Source organism: Homo sapiens, chromosome 5 (assembly GCF_000001405.40).
Source record: "Homo sapiens chromosome 5, GRCh38.p14 Primary Assembly".
Classification (NCBI taxonomy): Eukaryota; Metazoa; Chordata; class Mammalia; order Primates; family Hominidae; genus Homo; species Homo sapiens.
In genome coordinates this window covers 16,800,047-16,820,332 of record NC_000005.10, presented here as the reverse complement: position 1 = coordinate 16,820,332, position 20,286 = coordinate 16,800,047, and the positions used below count along the sequence as shown (strand labels likewise).

Genomic DNA, 20,286 nt, shown 5'->3' with positions numbered 1-20,286 from the left:
CTTCTGAAAATGTGCCTGGATTGGCATCATGGGGATGTGGCGTGCTAGGGGAAGGCAGGGCATTCTAGCTATTTAACTTCTGGGAATTTCTAGGTTGCCCCAAGGCTGCTTTGACTCTGGCCTAAGTTTCTGTTTCTTAACTTTCTTCCATGGTGTTGATGACTTAAAATGAAGGGTCTACATGTTTCTTCACTCTTGAATGTCCTTGTGCCTTCTGGGTGCGAAGCACTTCTACCCTGCTCCCTAGGTGGCCCCAGGCCTCTGCCAGCCCTGTGGGGCTCATGTGGCAGGGTTGGCCACCTTACCATGAGATGGGGCCACTAGGACTGTCTCCTCTCCTGGTGGATGTCTGAGCCCAGGAAGCAGCTGGGGACAGTGGCTTTTCTTCATAAGAGACGGGTGGGTCCCTATCTTGGCCTCGAGCAGTTTCTCAGGACTGGCTTGACCAACTCTAGTGGTTCATGTGGCAGAAATGCTACTGCTGAAGTTGTAATTTTTCTCTAGAAAAATGAAACATGCCATTTGTCATGGCTCATGAAAAAAAACCATTGGATTGGTACTTTTGCATTTCTTAGTGTGTCATTCTCCTTTGCAATAACATACCATTTGTTGCCATGTAGGCAGCCAGTCAGTATCTAAAAATAGCCTCTCCAATAAAAACATTCCACACATATGATTGCAGAAAATTGTTTTGTGTGCACACATGCACATGCCAGTTTGTGCGTGTCTGAAGGCTGAGCACTTTTCATGTTATTTAACATCCTTTTTTTTTTAAATCTCTTGATGTTTTTATTTTACTTAAAGGAGGATTGTAATCCAAGTATTTAAAAACTACCAACTCTAGTAAATGAGTAAATACAGAGTGGAACTCCGCAATCAAATGATTTTGTTATTGCTTGAGTTTGTAAAGCTGGTCAAGCTTTGGTCAACAGATGGAGCTTAATGTGATGTGGTTAATCCTGAACCAAATCACTTAGGACGAAGAGCACTGAGTAGACATTAGAAATCCATGCAAATTCAGCAATCTGACGGTACCAGAGTCACCTTATGTACATGCTATAACATGTCTGTAGCGCTCATTGCTGTTTTTGGAATTTTAAAGAAGATAGGTTCTTGAGCAAACAAAAAAACCAATTTTATTTTAAATCAGAATGCATTTGTTCTGCCGAGAGAGTACACAAATGCTATATATCCTGGTTGAAAGGGAATATTGTCCAAGGAGATTTTCTAAACATTCCTGTGATGATGCGTTCCAGTCTTTGAAAAGATATATAGACTATTTAATCAATATGAACGTATACCATATTTAAAGTACTTAAATTAATAATTAAATGGAATAACTATTATAAAGCTTTGAAATTATGTGATTCAATATGAAACATTATATAGGGAAACCAAATTACTTTCTAAAACTTAGAAAGTTTCTTAATTGTTACTGATTTATATCAAATGGAGAAATAATGCAGAGAAGTGAACTATAAGTTTATAATTTCTGTGATTCCCAAAAGATGGTTCATACTTGAACTAATATCTTTTAGGAACATCTAATAGCAATGGTCAAAATAATTGCTTCTTTTAGAAATATATAGGTGACAGCTGGGCTCTGTGGCTCATGCCTGTAATCCCAGCACTTCTGGGGGGCCAAGACAGGTGGATTGCTTGAGCCCAGGGGTTTGAGACCAGCCTGGGCAACATGACAAAACCCTGTATCTAAAAAAAAAAAAAATGCAAAAATTAGCTGGCTGGTGGCACATGCCTGTAGTCCCAGCTCGGGAGGCTGAGGTGGGAGGATCACTTGAGTCTCAGAGGTGGAGGCTGCGGTGAGCTGTAATCATGCCACTGCACTCCAGCCTGAGTAACAGAGTGAAATCATGCCTCAAAACAACAACAACAACAAAGATATGTGTATATATATATATATACACACACACACACACACACACACACACACGCACACACACACACACACATACATACACACACAGAGAGAGAGAGAGAGATAGGTGACATAAAATGAAAGAGATTTTTGCGATATATTTTTGATTGTCCAATTTAGAATCTTTTTCCTGAAATTATACTGAGATTGTATTGTCAGTTTGGGAAACTTGTGTGAAAAATCACTTACTGCTGATAATGAAATAATTGAATTCCTCTCCCTCCCTCAGGTATTCACTTACAAGCAGAGCACAATTACCCACCAGAAGGTGACTGCTATGCACCCCACGAACGAGGAGGGCGTGGATGACATGGCGTCCTTGACAGAGCTCCATGGCGGCTCCATCATGTATAACTTATTCCAGCGGTATAAGAGAAATCAAATATATGTAAGTTCCACTTGTAATTCCTTTAAAAAGATCCTCACGTTTGAGTGAATGCTTATTTTTGTTTTCAGAGAGTATTTCTTGCCTTTTGAGAATTCTTGTTAATCTAAGTAAAATTATGTTTTCAAGGGATTTGCCACATTAGAAACTTGGGTCAAAAATCATGTTTTCCTAGAGTTTATTGCCTAGGTTTTATTAGTGGGGATTTACTTTCTGTGGAAGGGCCTTCTGCACATCGAGGTAGTTTGACCTTGCTGCTTGTGAATACGCTGTGTTGTGTTCAGTTTCTAAGTGTTCTGCCACGGAAAGAAGTCATGGAGTTGTAGACTGACCGAGGGAAAATGTTGACTTGTGGACATGAGTACTTGAGCTTAAGCTGTCTTTTCTGGATTTTTCTCTTTCTGTGGATTTTCAGTCATTTTTCTGGCTCTGAAGCCCACCCTAGGGTGATAACTTGCATTCAAGGGAACCCATCTTTCTAAGTTGTGGGATTCCTGTTTGCTATTTTGAATGGAGAAATACATAAAAAGTGGTCATGCACATTTTTCTCTCAACTTCTATGAAATGTGACTATACCTGTATTATAAAGTGATATTTAAGAATCACTTGTTATAAATTTTTGACGTGAAAGTACAGATACTGCATTATCTGTCAAGATCAGTTGACCTGCAGATTTTCTCCCCTTTTCCATCTGCCTGTTTGCAAGTCTTTATAGGAAACTAAAGGCAACTGGTTATGTATGTTTATTTCTCTTGTCCAGCTCAAATTTATATAGTTTTTAAGCCAAAATTATAATACTTTAAAAACTCTTGATCTTTTAGTCATTTTTATTCTTTAGGAGTTACATTTCTTTGCCAATATGTTTGTGATTATGATTAATAATAAATTAGCCTTTGCCAGGTGCTGTGGCTCACACCTGTAATCCCAGCACTTTGTGAGGCCGAGGTGGGCGGATCACGAGGTCTGGAGTTTGAGACAAGCCTGACGAACATGGTGAAATCCCATCTCTACTAAAAATACAAAAACTAGCTGGGCATGGTGGCACATGCCTGTAATCCCGGCTACTCAGGAGGCTGAGGCAGGAGAATTGCTTGAACCCGGGAGGCAGAGGTTGCAGTGAGCCAAGATCGCGCCACTGCACTCCGGCCTGGGTGACAGAGCGAAACTCTGTCTCAGAAAAAAAAGGCCAGGTGCGGTGGCTCACGCCTGTAATCCCAGCACTTTGGGAGGCTGAGACGGGCGGATCACGAGATCAAGAGATCGGACCATCCTGGCCAACATGGTGAATCCCCGTCTCTACTAAAAATACAAAAATTAGCTGGGCGTGGTGGCGTGTGCCTGTAATCCCAGCTACTCGGGAGCCTGAGGCAGGAGAATCGCTTGAACCTGGGAGGCGGAGTTTGCAGTGAGCTAAGATCGCACCACTGCACTCCAACCAGGCGACAGCAAGACTCCATCTCAAAAAAAAAAAAAAGAAAAATCAGCCTTAAAATGGATAGTAGGTGCTAATTGAAACTCAAGGCATGCTTAATATTCAGGTTCTTCCAATTTATCTACCCTTAGACTGAGAAAGGAGCTGGGAAAGAGAAAGAATTATATATTTATGGGTTTAAACTGCTAAATTTTCCTCAGTTAAAAAAAAAAAGAGTGTATTTGCCTTTTTTTTTTTTTTTTGAGACAGAGTCTCACTCTGTCACCAGGCTGGAGTGCACTGGCACTATCTTGGCTCACTGCAGGCTCCGCCTCCTGGGTTCAAGTGATTCTCCTGCCTCAGCCTCCCGAGTAGCTGGGACTACAGGCGTGTGCTACCACGCCCAGCTAATTTTTGTATTTTCAGTAGAGACAAGGTCACCATGTTGGTCAGGATGGTCTCGATCTCCTGACCTTGTGATCCGCCCGCCTCGGCCTCCCAAAGTGCTGGGATTACAGGCATGAGCCACTGTGCCCCGCCCTTTTTTTTTTTTTTTTTTTACACTGTGAAAGTGTCATTTTTGTCAAATCGACCTAATGTTTGCCAAATGTTTTCAAACAGCCCTGTCCAGAGAAATTCAATCATGCTGTCTTCCTCTGACTTGCTGAGCTAGCTTGTCCTGTCTTTAGATTAAAATATTTTCCATATGTTCAGAAAAGGTAATGTTTATACCTGTTGGTGTGAAAGTGGCGATGCATTCTGTGTTTTGCATGAGCTGGCATAATGTGCATTTATTTCTCTGTTCTCATCTCAAAGATCCCCTTGTAGATGACCAGTGAACCACCTCTTTCCCATAGAATACCACTGCATAGGTATCCACATGACCGCTGCACTGTGCGTGTGTTGTTATTATTAAATATTTGACACTGTCGTGTAACTATTTGTTTACATAGCAGTTTCTTTGCTAGGTTTGTCAAGGACTTATTTTGTCTTCCTGGAACCAAGGACACTGCCAGGCACCTGGTAGTTGTGCAATAAATGTTTATAAAATAAATGCCATTCATATTACAAAGTCTTGTAGTTGATAAAATGTGAACCTGGATTTTAAAATTTTTTATTGGTGTATGTCTCTTGTAGGTGCAGATAGGTTGAATATACCTAATCCAAAAACTCCAAATCCACAATGCTTCAAAATCCAAGACATTTTGCATGCTGATGTGTTGCTGAAAGGAAATGCTCATTGGGAATATTTTGGATTTTGAATTTAACTTAAATTATGCTTAACCAGTACATAGTATGCAAATATTCCAAAATCCAAAAAATATTGAAATCCACAACACTTTGTGTCCCAGGCATTTCACACAAGGGATGCTCAATCTATATTTTGAAACTCATACTTTGCTGTCATTAGAGAAAAAACACAAGTTTGTTTTTTTTTGTAATAGTGTCTTGCTATGTTGCCCAGGCTAGACTCAAACTCCTGAGCTAAAGTGATCCTCCTGCCTTAGCCTCCTGAGTACCTGGGATTACAGGCACGTGCCAGCATGCCCACCTAGACACAAGTTGTTATTGTACATTTTCAATAGTCAAGAAAAAGTAAGTAAATTAGAAGGAAAAAAAAACTACACAAGGGTTTAAAAGGCAGACCCTTTTAAAAAGTTTTTTATTTATTTTCCTCTTTTCATGATAATAATGTTAAACCTGACAGCTAAATTGCCAATACATACTATGAATAAGATCTTGGTCTTGGAATAAGGTCATATTCTTCCTTTCTAAGGGGAAACCCGTAGGATTTTTGTGCATCCAATTTGCAGTTCAGTTCAGTTAATTATGCCATTGTAGACCTTCCGTTTGAGGCTTGCAAAATTGTATATTATCCATAAAGCAGCCACCATGATTTTTTAAAATTATCATTGAAGCCATTCACCGGAGATGTCAGCGTCTGTTGGACTCCGCTCACATCGAGACAAGACCGCCACCTGTCAGAACAGCCACTGCTTCTCCACATTTGATCCTGGCTCGGAGCAATGCCTGTCTATATCTTTAAAAGAGAAAAAAAATAAAATGACTTGAATTGTTCCAGAGATGTTGCATTAGTTTTCTTTTGCTGGATAACCAGTTACCATAAGTGTACCAACTTAAAAAAACAAAACGGCCAGGCACAGTGGCTCACGCCTGTAATCCCAGCACTTTGGGAGGCCGAGGCGGGCGGATCACGAGGTCAGGAGATCGAGACCATCCTGGCTAACATGGTGAAACCCCGTCTCCACTAAAAAAAAAAGTACAAAAAAATTAGCCGGGTGTGGTGGCGGGCGCCTGTAGTCCTAGGTACTCGGGAGGCTGAGGCAGGAAAATGGCGTGAACCCGGGAGGCGGAGCTTGCAGTGAGCCGAGATCGCGCACTGCCCTCCAGCCTGGGTGACAGAGCGAGACTCCGTCTCAGGAAAAAATAAATAAATGAAGATTACAGTTCTGTAGGTTGAAAGTCCCATAAGTCTCACCAGCAGAAATCAAAGGGTCAGCAGGGCTGCGTCTGTTTCCAGATGCTCTAGAGGAGGATCCGTTTCCTGCTCATTGTGTCGTTGGCTGAATTCAGTTACTTGCAGTTGGAGGACTGAGGTCCTTGTTTTCTTGCTGACTGTCACCTGAGGGCTGTTCCCAGCTTCTAGAGGCCGCTCACATTCCCTGGTCTCCTGATCTGTGGCTCCCTTTCTTCATCTTCAGTGCCAGTAACCATGTATTGTTTCCCTCTCATGGCTTCAAATCTTTCCTCCTTCTCCTCCACTGTCTTCTTTCTCTCTCTCTGACTGCAGCCAAGAAAGGCTGTCTGCTTTTAAGGCCTCACATGATTAGATTGGGCCTCCCTGGATGATCTCCCCATCTCAGGCTTCATAACCATAATCACCTGTGCAGAGCCCCTTTGCCATGTGACATTATCTAGTCACAGGCTCTGGGATGAGTGTGGATGGATGTCTTTGCGGGAGGAGCCATTATTCTGCCCACCATACGTGTCCTCCTTTTTTTGTTGTTGTTGGTTTTTTTTTTTTTTTAGAGCCAGGGTCTCACTTTGTCTCCTGGGCTGGAATGCAGTGACATGATCGCTGTTCCCTGCAGCCTCTAACTCACTCCTGGGCTCCAGTGATCCTCTCGCCTGAGTATATATATAGTACTACAGTATATAATATATAGGACTATAGGTGTGAGCCACTGCACTTGGTTAATTTTTAAGTTTTTTTAATTTTTTTAAATTTATAAAACATTGCTATGTTGCACAGGCTGGTCTTGAACTCCTGGGCTCAAGTGATCCTCCCTCCTGGGCCTTCCAACGTGTTGGGATGACAGGCATGAGCCTCCGCATCCAGCCAGGTACTCTCCTTTGAGTCATATCATTGAGGAGGGACTCCTGTGGCATTTTCCCCCTGCTGGCGTCTGGATGTTTCATTATTTGTTGACTTTCTGTTCTGAGCTGTCAGGTTCCATGGGTTGCTGGCAAGTGGCTCATCGCCAGGTAGAGAGGCTGCCATTCTTTGCTAAGGAGTAATGTTAGCTTTTTCTCCTTGGGGACTGGTCTTTTTATCTGAGAACTTTGTCAGAAACCAGGAAAATATTTTTTTATTGTAGCTTTTGGCATCTTCTATTGAAATGGGGTAGAAAGTGATAAAAAAAAAAAAAAAATAAAAGCACCCAGAATAGTCAAGTTAGAGTTGATCTTCCCTTTTCTTCACTAACCTCCTCTTTGGCTCCGTATTGATAATTGAATCTTTCTGAACACCAGTTTTTAAAATAAACGTGTTTTCAAAGGTCAGATATCATAATCCCTCTTAACAGGGATGTTTTAAAGTAAAAGAAGTGAAAGCTCTGGGAACTTTAACCTTTGTACCTTTGTCTCCATCTTAGCCATCTCATAGCAACAAGTGTTTATTTAGAAAGTTCCTGCCTCGAACTTGGCTCCATTTTAAGGGGGATTTGGAAGAAGTTTACAGCATCATCCCTAGCCTCAAAGCTTGCAATTTAGTGGGGAGATAACACCAAGGCCAGCTCACAGCACATGGCCTTGGATAGCTGAAGTCCTGTCATTGAGGGTTATGTGATGATGACACAGGCTTGGGTTTGAGTGTGCTTATGAAGCCCCTGAACCTTACCGCTGGGCCCTTTAGCTATTCCTGTGGGTGCATTCCTGTCCCAGGCTTGTCGCTGAGGGGACAGAGGCCGTACCGAGTTTGATGCCAGTGTCCATAGGTCTGGACTGCGTGGTTTAAGCTGCAGTGCCTGGGTTAGAGCCCCTCTGCGCTGGCTGTAACTGCCTGTGCAGAAGCCCGGCCTTCTATGCCCCTGTTAGATTCTCTTCCTGGAACCCCAGGCTCTTCCTGCCTGAGACTTCCCCTCATCAATCTTATCCTTCCTCTGGCCACTTCAAGACTAGAGCCCTGCTCTGCTCCCAGTTCCCAGCCAGGGGCCCCAGGTTTCCACCCTGAACCTCTTGGCTATGGGTTTGCTGCCTTGAGGAGAGGGGGTTGGCTCTCTCCTGATTGTCCCCTTCCTTGGAATGGGTCTGATGAGGGCCTAGACTTCTTCATCTCCTGTCACCGCCTGCTAAGACCTGGCAAGGGCAAATACCCGCTAAGGAGAGGAGGAGCAGGGTATGTGTTTGTGGTACAGAGACATAACCTATGTGTGGCTCAGGAAGCCCTATGGAGGTGGTGGTGGTGGTGACGCTACAAAGGCATGAGATCAATCAGGGTTGAGTAGAAAGCCTGGCATGGTGGCTCATGCTTGTAATCCCAGCTCTTTGGGAGGCTGAGGCGGGAGGATCGCTTGAGCCCATGAGTTCAAGACAAGCCTGGGCAATTTGGCGAAGTCCCATCTCTACAAAAGATTGCAAAAATTAGCCAGCCGTGGTGGCGTGCCCCTGTAGTCCCTTCTACTCAGGAAGCTGGGGTGGGAGGATTGCCTGAGCCGGGGAGGTTGAGGCAGCAGTGAGCCGAGATTGTGTCACTGTACTCCAGCCTGGGCAACAGAGCAAGACCCTGTCTCAACAAAAGAGAAAAAGAAAAGAACTGATGAGAAGGAAAGGCCAGTGAACACCATACATGAAGATGGAGAGCTGAGAGTGAGCTTGATGCGGCCTCATCGCAGCGGGAGAAGGCTGTCTTTGCTCATGGAATCAGATGCTGGCTGGGGAATGTGCAGAAATTAGGTGGGATGGGCAGCCTGAGGTTAGAAGCCTTAAACCATTGGTTCCCCACCTAGGATGATTCTGCCGTGGGGACATTTTGTAATATCTAAAAGACATTTTTGGTCTCATAGCTACGGTCAAGCGACGCTACTGGCATTTACTGAGTAGAGGCCAGGGATGCTGAGAAACATCCCGGAGTGCCTGGGGCAGCCCCAGAGTCATCTGGCCTAAGATGTCAGTGGTGCCAGAACATCCCCCCCCCACTTACCATCAGCTCACCTGGAAAGTTTGGGGCTGATGGTACACAGACCCCACTATATTTGTTAAAGTTTTCTTTTTGTTTTTTTTTTTTTTTTTGAGACAGAGTCTTGCTCTTTCGCCCAGGCTGGAGTGCAGTGGTGCCATGTCGGCTCACTGCAACCTCTGCCTCCTGGGTTCAAGCAATTCTTCTGCCTCAGTCTCCTGAGTAGCTGGGATTACAGGCATCCGCCACCACACCCGGCTAATTTTTGTATTTTTTTGTAGATACAGGGTTTCACCACGTTGGCCAGGCTGGTCTCGAACTGACCTCGGGAGATCCACCCGCCTTGGCCTCTCAAAGTGTTGGGATTACAGACGTGAGCCACTGCACCTGGCCTTTATTTTGTTTTAGAGACAGGATCCCGCTCTGTCACCCAGGCTGGAGTGCAATGGTGTGATCATAGTTCTTTGCAGCCTTGACCTCCCAGGTCAGCCTCTAGAGCAGCTGGGACTACAGGCACGCACCACCACGCCTGGCTAATTTTTAAATTTTTGTCAAGACTGGGATCTTGCTATGTTGTCCAGGATGATCTTGAACTCTTGACCTCAAGCCATCCTCCCACCTTGACCTCCCAAAGTGCTGGGATTTATAGGCATGAGCCACTGCACCCAGTCTGTTTAAAGGTTTCTGAAAGGAGAATTTCTCTAAGAAAAATTTCAGAAGATTTAAGAGGGAAGTGATATGGCTGAGATGAGAAAGGACAGATGGGCTGAGGGCGTGTTGCAGTAATTCAGTAGGGGAGGGCTGAGGGTTTTAGACCAGGGTAGAGATGGGAGAAAAGTCATGGGGACTGTAGGGAGGGAGGTGATGGAAGAGGCTCCATGTCACTGTCTCCCGGTCTTGTCAAGTGCTGTGGCTGTGAAAACGTGGCACCGTCCTGGAAGCTCCTGAGCAGAGTGAGAACAAGTGTTTTTTAGGTGCCTGTTTTCTGTCTTCCTGTGCTCTCTGGCCCTGGATCATCTCAAATTATTATGTACCCAGCATCTAAGCACAGTGTTGACAAGAGCAGGAGAGGTTTCTGTTGCACCGAAGGCAAGCTCAGTGGCCAGAGTGGAAGGGCTGCCAGGTTCCGAGGCGTGGCAGTTTTGTTTCCTGCTGAATGGAAGAGAAGCACATTCTCTTCATTACAGGGATTGTGGAGCTCTGGGTCAGTTGCGCAGAGGAGACTCCTCTCCCAGTCTCTAAGGAATGGCTCAAAACCACATCACGGGGAGAGCTGCAGGGAACTTCAGCGGTCGCCTGCAATTATGGTGTTGAGGCTGGCTCCAGAGGAAGCTCTTCCCTGTTCCACCCAGCCTTTTGGTTAGTTTGTTTGTCTTGCCGAACAAACAGCACAGAGATCAGAATCAAAGGAGCCAATTTTAAGAAATGGGGCTGTTTCTAAAGATAAATGCTTCAGTAAGCACGAACTATGCTTCACAGCTAATGTATTTTTAGATGTTTCAAAAATATCCTCCTTTGGTTAGGTGGCATTCCAGCCCAAATCTGCAAATGTGTTTGATGTTGCTTCTGAATTAACTTTGAAGCCTGCATCTGTCAGGCAAAATGTGTTAGCAGGCATCAGCCAGAGAAAGGCCTATTGATTTTAGCAGCCGGTTGAACAGAGTTCACCTGCAGGGAAGTCACGGCCTGCTTGCCATGTGAAGGCTGGGCATACCCTGCCGTGGACTGGACTGTTTGGGAATCTTGCAAATTGAAATCTGTGTTTCATTTTCTTGAGTTGAGTCTTCCCAAGGTAGACTTGGTTGGCTTGTTTACATCCCTTTCCAAGGCTCGAGTCAAGTCACAGCGCGCCTCTCACGGAGGCAGCGTGGCCTGAAGGCCGCGTGGTTGGTTGGTTAGCACTGCCTTGGCATTGGGGTGCCCTTGGGACAGATGAACGCAGTGCAGTTTGAACACACTTGGGGCAGATGAACACAGTCAGGACTTTCTGGGTTTTTTTGGCTTTTTTTTTTTTCCACATGAAATCAAGACTCGTAGCCAAAAGATGATTGTAACCATCTGTCTGACTATATGTATTTTAAAACTTTACCAAACATTTATGCTCCGGAGTGGCCGCTTCCACATCAGCACATGAGAGTGGCAATTTGAAACTTGTTTTTTTGTGATTTTTTTTTTTCTTCCTTGTCTCTCTTTGGGTTTAGATTCCTTTCAAGGCTGGGCGTGGTGGCTCATGCCTGTAATCCCAGCACTTTGGGAGGCCGAGGCAGGCTGATCACAAGGTCAGGAGTTTGAGACCAGCCTGGCCAACATGGTGAAACCCCATCTCTACTAAAAATACAAAAATTAGCCAGGCGTGGTGGCGGGTGCCTGTAGTCCCAGCTACTTGGGAGGCTGAGGCAGGAGAATCGCTTGAACCTGGGAGGAGAAGGTTGCAGTGAGCCGAGATTGTGCCACTGCACTCCAGCCTATGCAATAGAGTGAGACTGTCTCAAAAATAATAATAATAAAAAAGATACATTCCTTTCAATCAGGAGAGAATTTTAGTCAGAAAGTCACTCAGGTGAAATGGAAATGCCAGCCTCTACCTTGAAGACCTTGACTTCAGTTAACAGCTTGTCTCTTGAGATGGTTTAATTTTCAACAAACTTGAATGCTTCACGATTTTTAAAAAATTGTTTCTAAGTGTTTATTTTTTATTTTTATTTATTATTATTTAGACCTCACTCTTTTGCCCAGGCTGGAGTGTAGTGGTGCGATCATAGCTCACCACAGCCTCCAACTCCTGGGCTCAAGCAGTCCTCCTACCTCAGCTTCCCAAGTAGCTGCGACTATGGGTGCGTGCCACCACAGCCAGCTAATTTTTTGTATTTTTAAAATTTTTTGTAGAGATGGAGGCTTGTCGTGTTGCTCAGGTTGGTCTCAAATTTCTGGCCTCAAGCGATCCTCCCACCTGGGCTTCCTAAAGTGCTGGGATTACAGGCATGAGTCACTACACGTGGCTGAAATGTTTCTAATTGTTTAATTGGACAACATCAGACAATTGGGTTATGTAGAAGATAGTGGGCATAAAGCACTAGAAGACAGTTAAAACATGAATTTATTTGGTGGATTGGTGGTGAAATCATGTGTCCTCAGCATATCGATGCTGATGCCGCCCTGCCTGGGTACCAGGCTCTGTGTTAGGCTCCAGGGATGCAGAATGACTCTGGCTTACAGGAATGGCTTGTTGAAAGACTGAGTAAATGAAAGGTCCCTAATTGATTAGTGAAGACAGACACAGGCAAACGATGAACAATAGCTCAGGGTGACAATGGGTGTGATAAAAATACATGGGAACACAAAGAAGGAGCGTCACAATGAGGAGGGGATGAGAGGGTCAGAAAATGATTCCTCACTGAGGTGCTATTAATAGTTGGCCTGAGTTTTGAGCATATGTAGAGGAATTTGGCCAAGAAGGAGGATAGCTGTCCTGGCAGCAGATCATCATGTGGAAAGACGGAAATATTGTGATGCATTGTTATTTAATATCCAACGCAGGACATTCTAGATGCCAGAACAAAGGTTGCATGCTGCTGGCTGGCAAGGCGGTCGAGAGCAATGGAGGAAGGAATGGCTCTGTGCAACTCAGTGAGCTTGAACGGACTCATGAAAGCTGTAGGGGATAACTTTAAGCATGCGTTTTGGGGAAGCGTCACTTGGTCACAGGGTGGTGGATGAGAAAGGAGGGGCTTCCAGTTAGGAGGGGTTACTGTGTGAGATACCGAGAGGTAGATGCTAAGTGTTTAACTGGGTTTGGGGGCCAAGTAAGCTGAATTTCTGTAGGATTACTGGATTACTCATTTGGGTAGGCTGTGGTGCCATTTGTCAAGTTGTCACTATGTGTGAAGTAACAGGTGTTTGGGGGAGGTTAGCCATGTCTGTTGAGCTTGAGCCAGTGGACCACTGAACATATGGATCTGTAACTTACAGCTGAAGTTGCACTCAAGATAAAGATTTAGGAAGTAAGTCACTGCCGTATTTAGCCGAGGTGTTTGAGAGAGAAGGAAACGGGGGGATGGTGAGTACGAAATAAATCTGGATAATGGATCTCACTTCTTAACAACTCTTCCCTTTAGCTGCCATAGCACAGACTTTAAATAACCCATTTCCCCAGTGCATTTCAAATTGTATCTTCTACATCCAGCTTTTCAGGACTACATGACGAAAAGCATTGTGGTTTTATTTTCATTAACAATAGCGATGATACATACCTCTGATTTCTGTAGCACATAGCGGTCATGTGGGGTAACAGAGGATCCCTTGTTGTTACTGATCAGAATCTTAGTCCCGGGGGAGTGAAGCAGTGCCAGGGGAGGTTCTTCAGGGCTGTGGACTTGGTGTCTTCTGACTTGACCAAACCATGCTGTTTAGATGAGTTATTTCTGCATTGGGATTGTGATATCCAACCTGGGTCCCTTGGTCTCTATAAGCATCCTGTATGAGGCCACTGAGTCACTTTAAGTTTTCTCAGTTATACTTGATTTTTTTTTTTTTTGAGACGGAGTCTTGCTCTGTCGCCCAGGTTGGAGTGCAGTGGCACTATCTTGGCTCACTGCAAGCTCCTCCTCCTGGGTTCATGCCATTCTCCTGCCTCAGCCTCCTGAGTAGCTGGGACTACGTAGTAGGCGCCCGCCACCACGCCCAGCTAATTTTTTTATATTTTTAGTAGAGATGGGGTTTCACCGTGTTAACGTGGTCTCGATCTCCTGACCTCGTGATCCGCCCGCCTCTGCCTCCCAAAGTGCTGGGATCACAGGTGTGAGCCGTCGCACCCGGCCTTTTTTTGGAGGTAGAGTCTTACTCTGTGGCCCAGGCTGGAGTGCAGTGGCGTGATCTCGGTTCACTGCAACCTCTGGCTCACTGCAACCTCCACCTCCCGATTCTTCTACCTCAGCATCCCCAGTAGCTGGGATTACAGGTGCCCGCCACCATGCCCAGCTAATTTTTTTTTTTAAATTGTAATAGAGATGGGGTTTTGCCATGTTGGCCAGGCTGGTCTCAAACTCCTGACCTCAAATGACCCACCTGCCTCAGCCTCCCAAAGTGCTGGGATTATAGGCGTGATCCACTGCACCCGGCCAGTTACACTTGATTAAAAAAAAATTATTGGCTGTATTTAAGATACACAACATGATATTTTGATATACATATGCATGCTGAAGTCAAATGATACTTGATTTTTTGGGGGTGTGAAATTTGACACTAGGTGTTATACCCTTAGGCCTTTTGAAAACCTTGACTTGGTAGATTTTAGATTGAAGAGATGAAGTGAGCTTCTCCAACATTTTTAAGCAATTTGTGCTGCAGCTGTTCCAAATTATTAAAATGGGCAAGGGAATGTATTTTGGGGGTGAGTTATGTGGAACTTTTCTGACAAGAAAATGTTTTTATGTGCTTCAAAATAGAATGTACTTCCTATTTCTGAAAAGCCATTAAACCGACCAGCTTATTTATTCTTGTGGAATTTGAAATCCAACATGAGGAAACCGGTACGTGGCCCCACCTCGTGTTTGGGAGCTGCATGTGTCCACAGTCTTAAACTGCATGGCATCATCATGGCCGTTTGTGGAGCGGTAACAATATCTTTTCATAGAGTGAGAAATGACGTGAGCCCATGGCAAATGTTGTCTCATAGACCTTAGGATTTCTTTTTTTTCTTTTCTTTTTTTTTTTTTTTTTTTTTTGAGATGGAGTCTCACTGTGTTGCCCGGGCTAGAGTGCAGTGCCATGATGGTTCACTGCAATCTCTGCTTCCTGGGTTCAAGCGATTCTCCTGCCTCAGCCTCCCGAGTAGCTGGGATTACAGGCATCCGCCACCACGCCTGGCTAATTTTGTATTTTTAGTAGAGACGGGGTTTCACCATGTTGGCCAGGCTGGTCTTGAACTCCTGACTTCAAGTAATCTGCTGGCCTTGGCCTCCCAAAGTGCTGGGATTACAGGTGTGAGCCACTGCACCCAGCCAGAATTTCTTACCACACTTTATCTTTGCTTCACTTGACACTTAACAAGCTAGCTCTTTCCCCACCTCCAGCTGCCATTTTTACTCACGTTACATGTTGAACTTTTCTTATTACTCAGTGAACCTCTTACACATGTAGCCTATACTTCAGTGACAAAGTCATCCATGCAAATTGAAGAGTGGGGTGGTAAGTTTAAGATGGGGGAGATAAGATGTCCTTGACTGTAATTATTTTTGCCAAAGAATGCTTGACATTTCAAATAATTTTTTTTGAGGTGGGGTCTCACTGTATTACCCAGGCTGGAGTGCAGTGGTCATGGCTCACTACAGCCTTGACCTCCCCAGGCTCAGGTGATCCTCCCACCTCAGCCTGCCGAGTAGCTGGGACTACAGGCATGCACTACCACACCCAGCTAATTTTCGTATTTTTAGTAGAGATGGGGTTTCGCCACATTGCCCAGGCTGGTCTCAAACTCCTGGGCTCAAGCCATCCTCCTGCCTTGGCTGGTCTCGAACTCCTGACCTCAGGTGATCCTCCTGCCTCAGCTTCCCAAAGTGCTGGGATTACAGGCCGGAGCCTCTGCGCGCGACCATAATTTGTCTTTCTTGAAATAAACGATTGGGAACTATGACTATGGTTGCCGGTGTTATTTTACATCCCTGTTTTAGCAGGTTCAGAAGTGCCATTTGTCATGTGCATGGACACAAACAGTAAAAACCCAGTAGTAAGTGAAGTCCTTCTGTGAGCTGAAGCCCTTCCCCCACTCCCTTTGGTGACCTGTTACGAAAATACTTCATTAGGGCTTGGGCTGCTGTATCACCTTTTGGTGATTGGATTAAGGGGGTAAAGACCCCGAGGGAAATCTCAGAGGAAGGAGCCTTTGTGGAAGTTAGTCAATGCAAGGTGAGGCCCTGAGCAGACCAGGACAGCACAGATGAAGGGAGTGGGTGGGTCGCCCTGGAGTTAATGAAAAGTGGAACACACGGGACAAGGAGACGTCAGCCATGGTGATGAGGTGATGAGGTGATGAGGCTGACAGAGCCCTGTGGGTGGATGGGTGATGGAGAAGGCATTCGCTGTAGATCCACAGTGTGGCACATTCTCAAAAATCCAGGGTTCCTGCCTTCACTCTGACTCACGGGCTCCGTGACCGTAGGGACAATATCTTATTGTCCCCTTGCCGGTTCCATTACCTGTCAGAAGAGGCAGGAGCAGTGACCTCTGCTGCCCATCACAGGGTTATGGAAGAGCAAATGAGTGGGTGTGCGAATGTGTAAACAATCCTTTTGGCCATAGGTACTAAATGGAGGTAGGTAGTCTAAGGGAGGCCTTTGAATTATTAATAAGTAAGTAATATTGGGCTGTTGTCTACTGAGTAATTTTTATACAATGAGGCAAAATTTTCTATAATCTTAAGAAATCAGGTTCTTTCTTTGTACCAGCCAGACACACATTTTACATATTCTTTCCTTTTTTGCTTTTCAAGGAAGAGATTTCAGATTATTGAGTTTTGGTTCCAATTAAATCTGGTCGTTTGATGTTCCTGTTGGTTTGTGGGAGTTCATTTGCTGAATTTACCGCCAGCCACAACATAATATCTTTATTAATTATTTAAACTCTGACATTACTGTCTCCCTGAAAATATCAGTGCCTTTTGTTCTCTCTTCCTGAATAGTCTATAGCTTGTCACCAGAACATTTTTATTTAATTTGGGTTCAAATTTGAAGGTGTGTATGCTGAAACTTTTTTTTTTCTTTTGAGATAGGGTCTCACTCTGTCAGGCTGGAGTGCGGTGGCACAATCTTGGTTCAATGCAACCTCTGCCTCCTGGGCTCAGGTGATCCTCCCACCTCAGCCTCCTGAGTAGCTGAGACCACATGTGTGCACCATCATACCTGGCTAACTTTTTAATGTATTTTTTGTAGAGACAGGGTTTTGACATTAGTGCCCAGGCTGGTTAACTCCTGGACTCAAGTGATCCTCCCGCCTCGGCCTCCCAAACTGCTGGGATTACGGGCATGAGCCATCAGGCCTGGCCTTTTTTTAAATTTAATTTTTTTTTTAAATTTTTTTAAAGAGACAAGGTTTCCACTTTGTTACCAAGGCTGGAGTGCAGTGATGCAATCACGGCTCACTGAAGCCTTGACCTCCTGGGCTCAAGCCATCCTCCCACCTCAGCCTCCCTAGTGGCTGGGAATACAGGCATGTGCTACCACACATGGGTAAATTTTTTTTTTTTTTTGAGAGAGAGGATCTCACTGTGTTGCCCAGGCCGGTCTTGAACTCCTGGGCTCAAGTGATCCTCCCAAAGTGTTGGGATAACAGGCGTGAGCCACCACACCCAACCTCTAAAACTTTTTATTTAAAGTTAAGGAGCATAATGTTTCTTGTTATTTCCTCTCAAGTCTGTGCTTGTTTTTAATCTCTCTTTATACTTAGAGATTAATGTATTCTATACAACACCATAATTCCCAGCATTACTTATTTTTTTTAATTTTTCTTTCTTTCTTTTTTTTTTTTTTTTTTAGAGACAGTCTCGCTCTGTCCCCCAGGCTGGAGTGCAGTGGCGTGATCTCAGCTCACTGCAAGCTCTGCCTCCCGGGTTCATGCCAATCTCCTGCCTCAGCCTCCTGAGTAGCTGGGACTACAGGCGCCTGCCACTACGCCCGGCTAATTTTTGTATTTTTAGTAGAGACGGGGTTTCACCCTGTTAGCCAGGATGGTCTCAATCTCCTGACCTCATGATCCACCCGCCTCAGCATCCCAGAGTGTTGGGATTACAGGCATGAGCCACTGCACCCGGCTCCTATTTTTTTCTTTATTAAACTAAAAAAAAAATTTTATTTTGGTAAAATGCATGAACAAAATGTATCACAGCCGTTGTTAATGCACAGTTCGATAGCGTTAAGTATATTTACGTTACCCTGCAGCAATCTCCAGAACTCTTCTCCTCTTGCAGAACTGAATCCATACTCATTAAACAACAGCTCCCCATTTCCCCCATCTCCAGCCCCTGGCAACCACCCTTCCACTTTCTGTCAATTTGATTATTCTGGATCCTCATATAAGTGGAATTGTACATTTCCACTTTCTCTATCAATTTGAGTATTCTGGATACCTCATACAAGTGGACTCGCACAGTGTTTATCTTTTTGTGACTGTCATAATTCACTTAGCATAATGTCTTAAGGGTTCATCCATGTTGTAGCAAGGGTCTGAATTTCCATCCCTTTCAGGGCTGAATAATTCCGTTGTATGGATGTGCCACATTTTTTGTATCTGTTCATTTATTGGCAGACACATGGGTTGCTTCTACCTTTTGGCTGTTGTTTACTGAATATTTTTTATACATGGTATAAAAAGTTTGAAAAAACATCCTTGAGTTAGTGGCAATATGCAAAAAAGAATAAGAAAGTGCTTGGAGGATGTGGGTTTAAGGAAAATCTTGAAAACAGCAGATGCCGGACATGTTATGAACATATGTATCTTAGTTTTCTCTTGTTTAGAGTACGAAATATGGTCTAAACCATAGGTTTAGAAATTTTTGTAGAGTATGAATTTTTTCTTTTCAGAATATGAATCACAAAACGAGAAGGACCACAGCAGTAGCACCTACATTCTTACAGAGTCATGTTGGAATATAGCCATGTACCATTAAATGTATGATCTTAGCCAGGCATGGTGGCTCATGCCTGTAATGCCAGCACTTTGGGAGGCTGATGCAAGCAGGCCAGATGAAGCCAGGAGTTTGAGAGCAGCCTGGCTAATGTGGTGAAACCCCATTCGTCTCTACTAAAAATACAAAAATTAGCCAGGTGTGGTTGTGGGCGCCTGTAATCCCAGCTACTCGGGAGGCTGAGGCAGGAGAATTGCTTTAACCCGGGAGGCGGAGGCTGCAGTAAGCTGAGATTGCACCACTGCACGGCAGCCTGGGCAACGGAGCGAGACTCTGTCTCAAAAATAAATAAATGCATGATTGATCTTTAAAAATCAGGAGCAGCTGTTTAAGTGCTCTTTCTCTACCCAACAAGCAGAAAGGGTCCTGACCATTTTTTGAGGAATTTGGGGAGTTCAACTCATGGTTCAGTTTAAAGCTATAAAGTAGATCATGGGGCATGAAAGATCGTCACACATCTGAGGCAGGCAGCTTCTAGGGTGCACGTAACTTTTATTTATTACTTACCTTAAAAGGTGAAAGGTTTTAAACATACTGAAATACAAATCTTTTTGGAAAAGAATTTTTTTTTTTCACTTGATGTGATATATGGTGTGTAAAATGAAAAGCAAAATAAAAGCCTGGCTTGGTATCTTCTGTTACGTTAACCACGCATTCAGACGACCTTTTACCTGAAAACACTTTTCAATACCCCCTGACATAGTGGCCCTTGGAGGAAAAGCCTTTCATTCCACAGGAGATTTGGCGCTTCCTTCCAACACAGCCACGGGGGTGGCGCATGGCAAGGCTGAGAAAGAACCAGTGTAGTGAGGCCAAGCAGATTGGAGAACAGCGGAAGCTTAGGAGCCTGGGGTGGTTTCATTGTAGATTAGAAGATAGAGTCTTCCTCACTTGCTGTGGGCATCGCTTTTATGGGCGGAGAGCCTGAATGAGTCCCAGAATCCTCAAGAAAAGATGAAATCAGGTTCCTAACCTGGGTAAAGAACCCACGAGCACATGCTGTACCCTTCAGAAGCTTCTCATCAAAACGGGAACAATCAAGGCTTTCTTGCCTAAAGCAGCAACAGTCTGTTATTAATATTTATGCAGAATTTTAAAAATATATTTTTAAGTAGAGATGGGGTCTTCCTATATTGCCCAGGCTGGTCTTGAACTCCTTGGCTCAGGCAGTTCTCCCACCTTGGCCTCCAAAAGTGCTGGGATTATAGTCATGACCCACCGTAGCTGGCCGGGATTTTAAATTTATTGACAATGTGTAGTAATGAGGGACCATATTTTTTTCATGGTAACTCACTAGGCTGACTGACAGATGAAGCATGCATTTTATTGTAAGAGTCAGATACAAAGATCAATATTATTGTAGGAAAAGTGTGCAACCACCAGAGCTGTGCTGGTCATTGGCCATGATTAACATCTTCTATAACTAAACCAGCTGGATGGTTTTGGTCTTTCACTCTCG

General features: G+C 44.4%; 1 protein-coding gene across 2 annotated transcripts in view, besides 3 other annotated features; it reads left to right on the top strand.

The window, feature by feature from the left end:
• The window catches only part of MYO10 (myosin X), a 274,382-nt gene that overhangs the window by 115,956 nt on the left and 138,140 nt on the right, over positions 1-20,286 (top strand). For both annotated transcript variants that reach the window (XM_006714475.4, NM_012334.3), the window contains exon 3: positions 2,166-2,324. In XM_006714475.4, coding sequence (XP_006714538.1) covers positions 2,166-2,324 — 159 coding nt within the window. The remainder of the gene's footprint in view (positions 1-2,165; positions 2,325-20,286) is intronic.
• Positions 10,460-10,959: an enhancer, noted in NCBI's record as "H3K27ac hESC enhancer chr5:16809483-16809982 (GRCh37/hg19 assembly coordinates)". NCBI's record gives its function as "activates a minimal SCP1, AML or CMV promoter by ChIP-STARR-seq in primed H9 embryonic stem cells {active_cell/tissue: H9 hESC(primed)}" and the evidence as "EXISTENCE:reporter gene assay evidence [ECO:0000049][PMID:30033119]".
• Positions 13,443-13,943: an enhancer, noted in NCBI's record as "H3K4me1 hESC enhancer chr5:16806499-16806999 (GRCh37/hg19 assembly coordinates)". NCBI's record gives its function as "activates a minimal SCP1, AML or CMV promoter by ChIP-STARR-seq in primed H9 embryonic stem cells {active_cell/tissue: H9 hESC(primed)}" and the evidence as "EXISTENCE:reporter gene assay evidence [ECO:0000049][PMID:30033119]".
• Positions 13,944-14,444: an enhancer, noted in NCBI's record as "H3K4me1 hESC enhancer chr5:16805998-16806498 (GRCh37/hg19 assembly coordinates)". NCBI's record gives its function as "activates a minimal SCP1, AML or CMV promoter by ChIP-STARR-seq in primed H9 embryonic stem cells {active_cell/tissue: H9 hESC(primed)}" and the evidence as "EXISTENCE:reporter gene assay evidence [ECO:0000049][PMID:30033119]".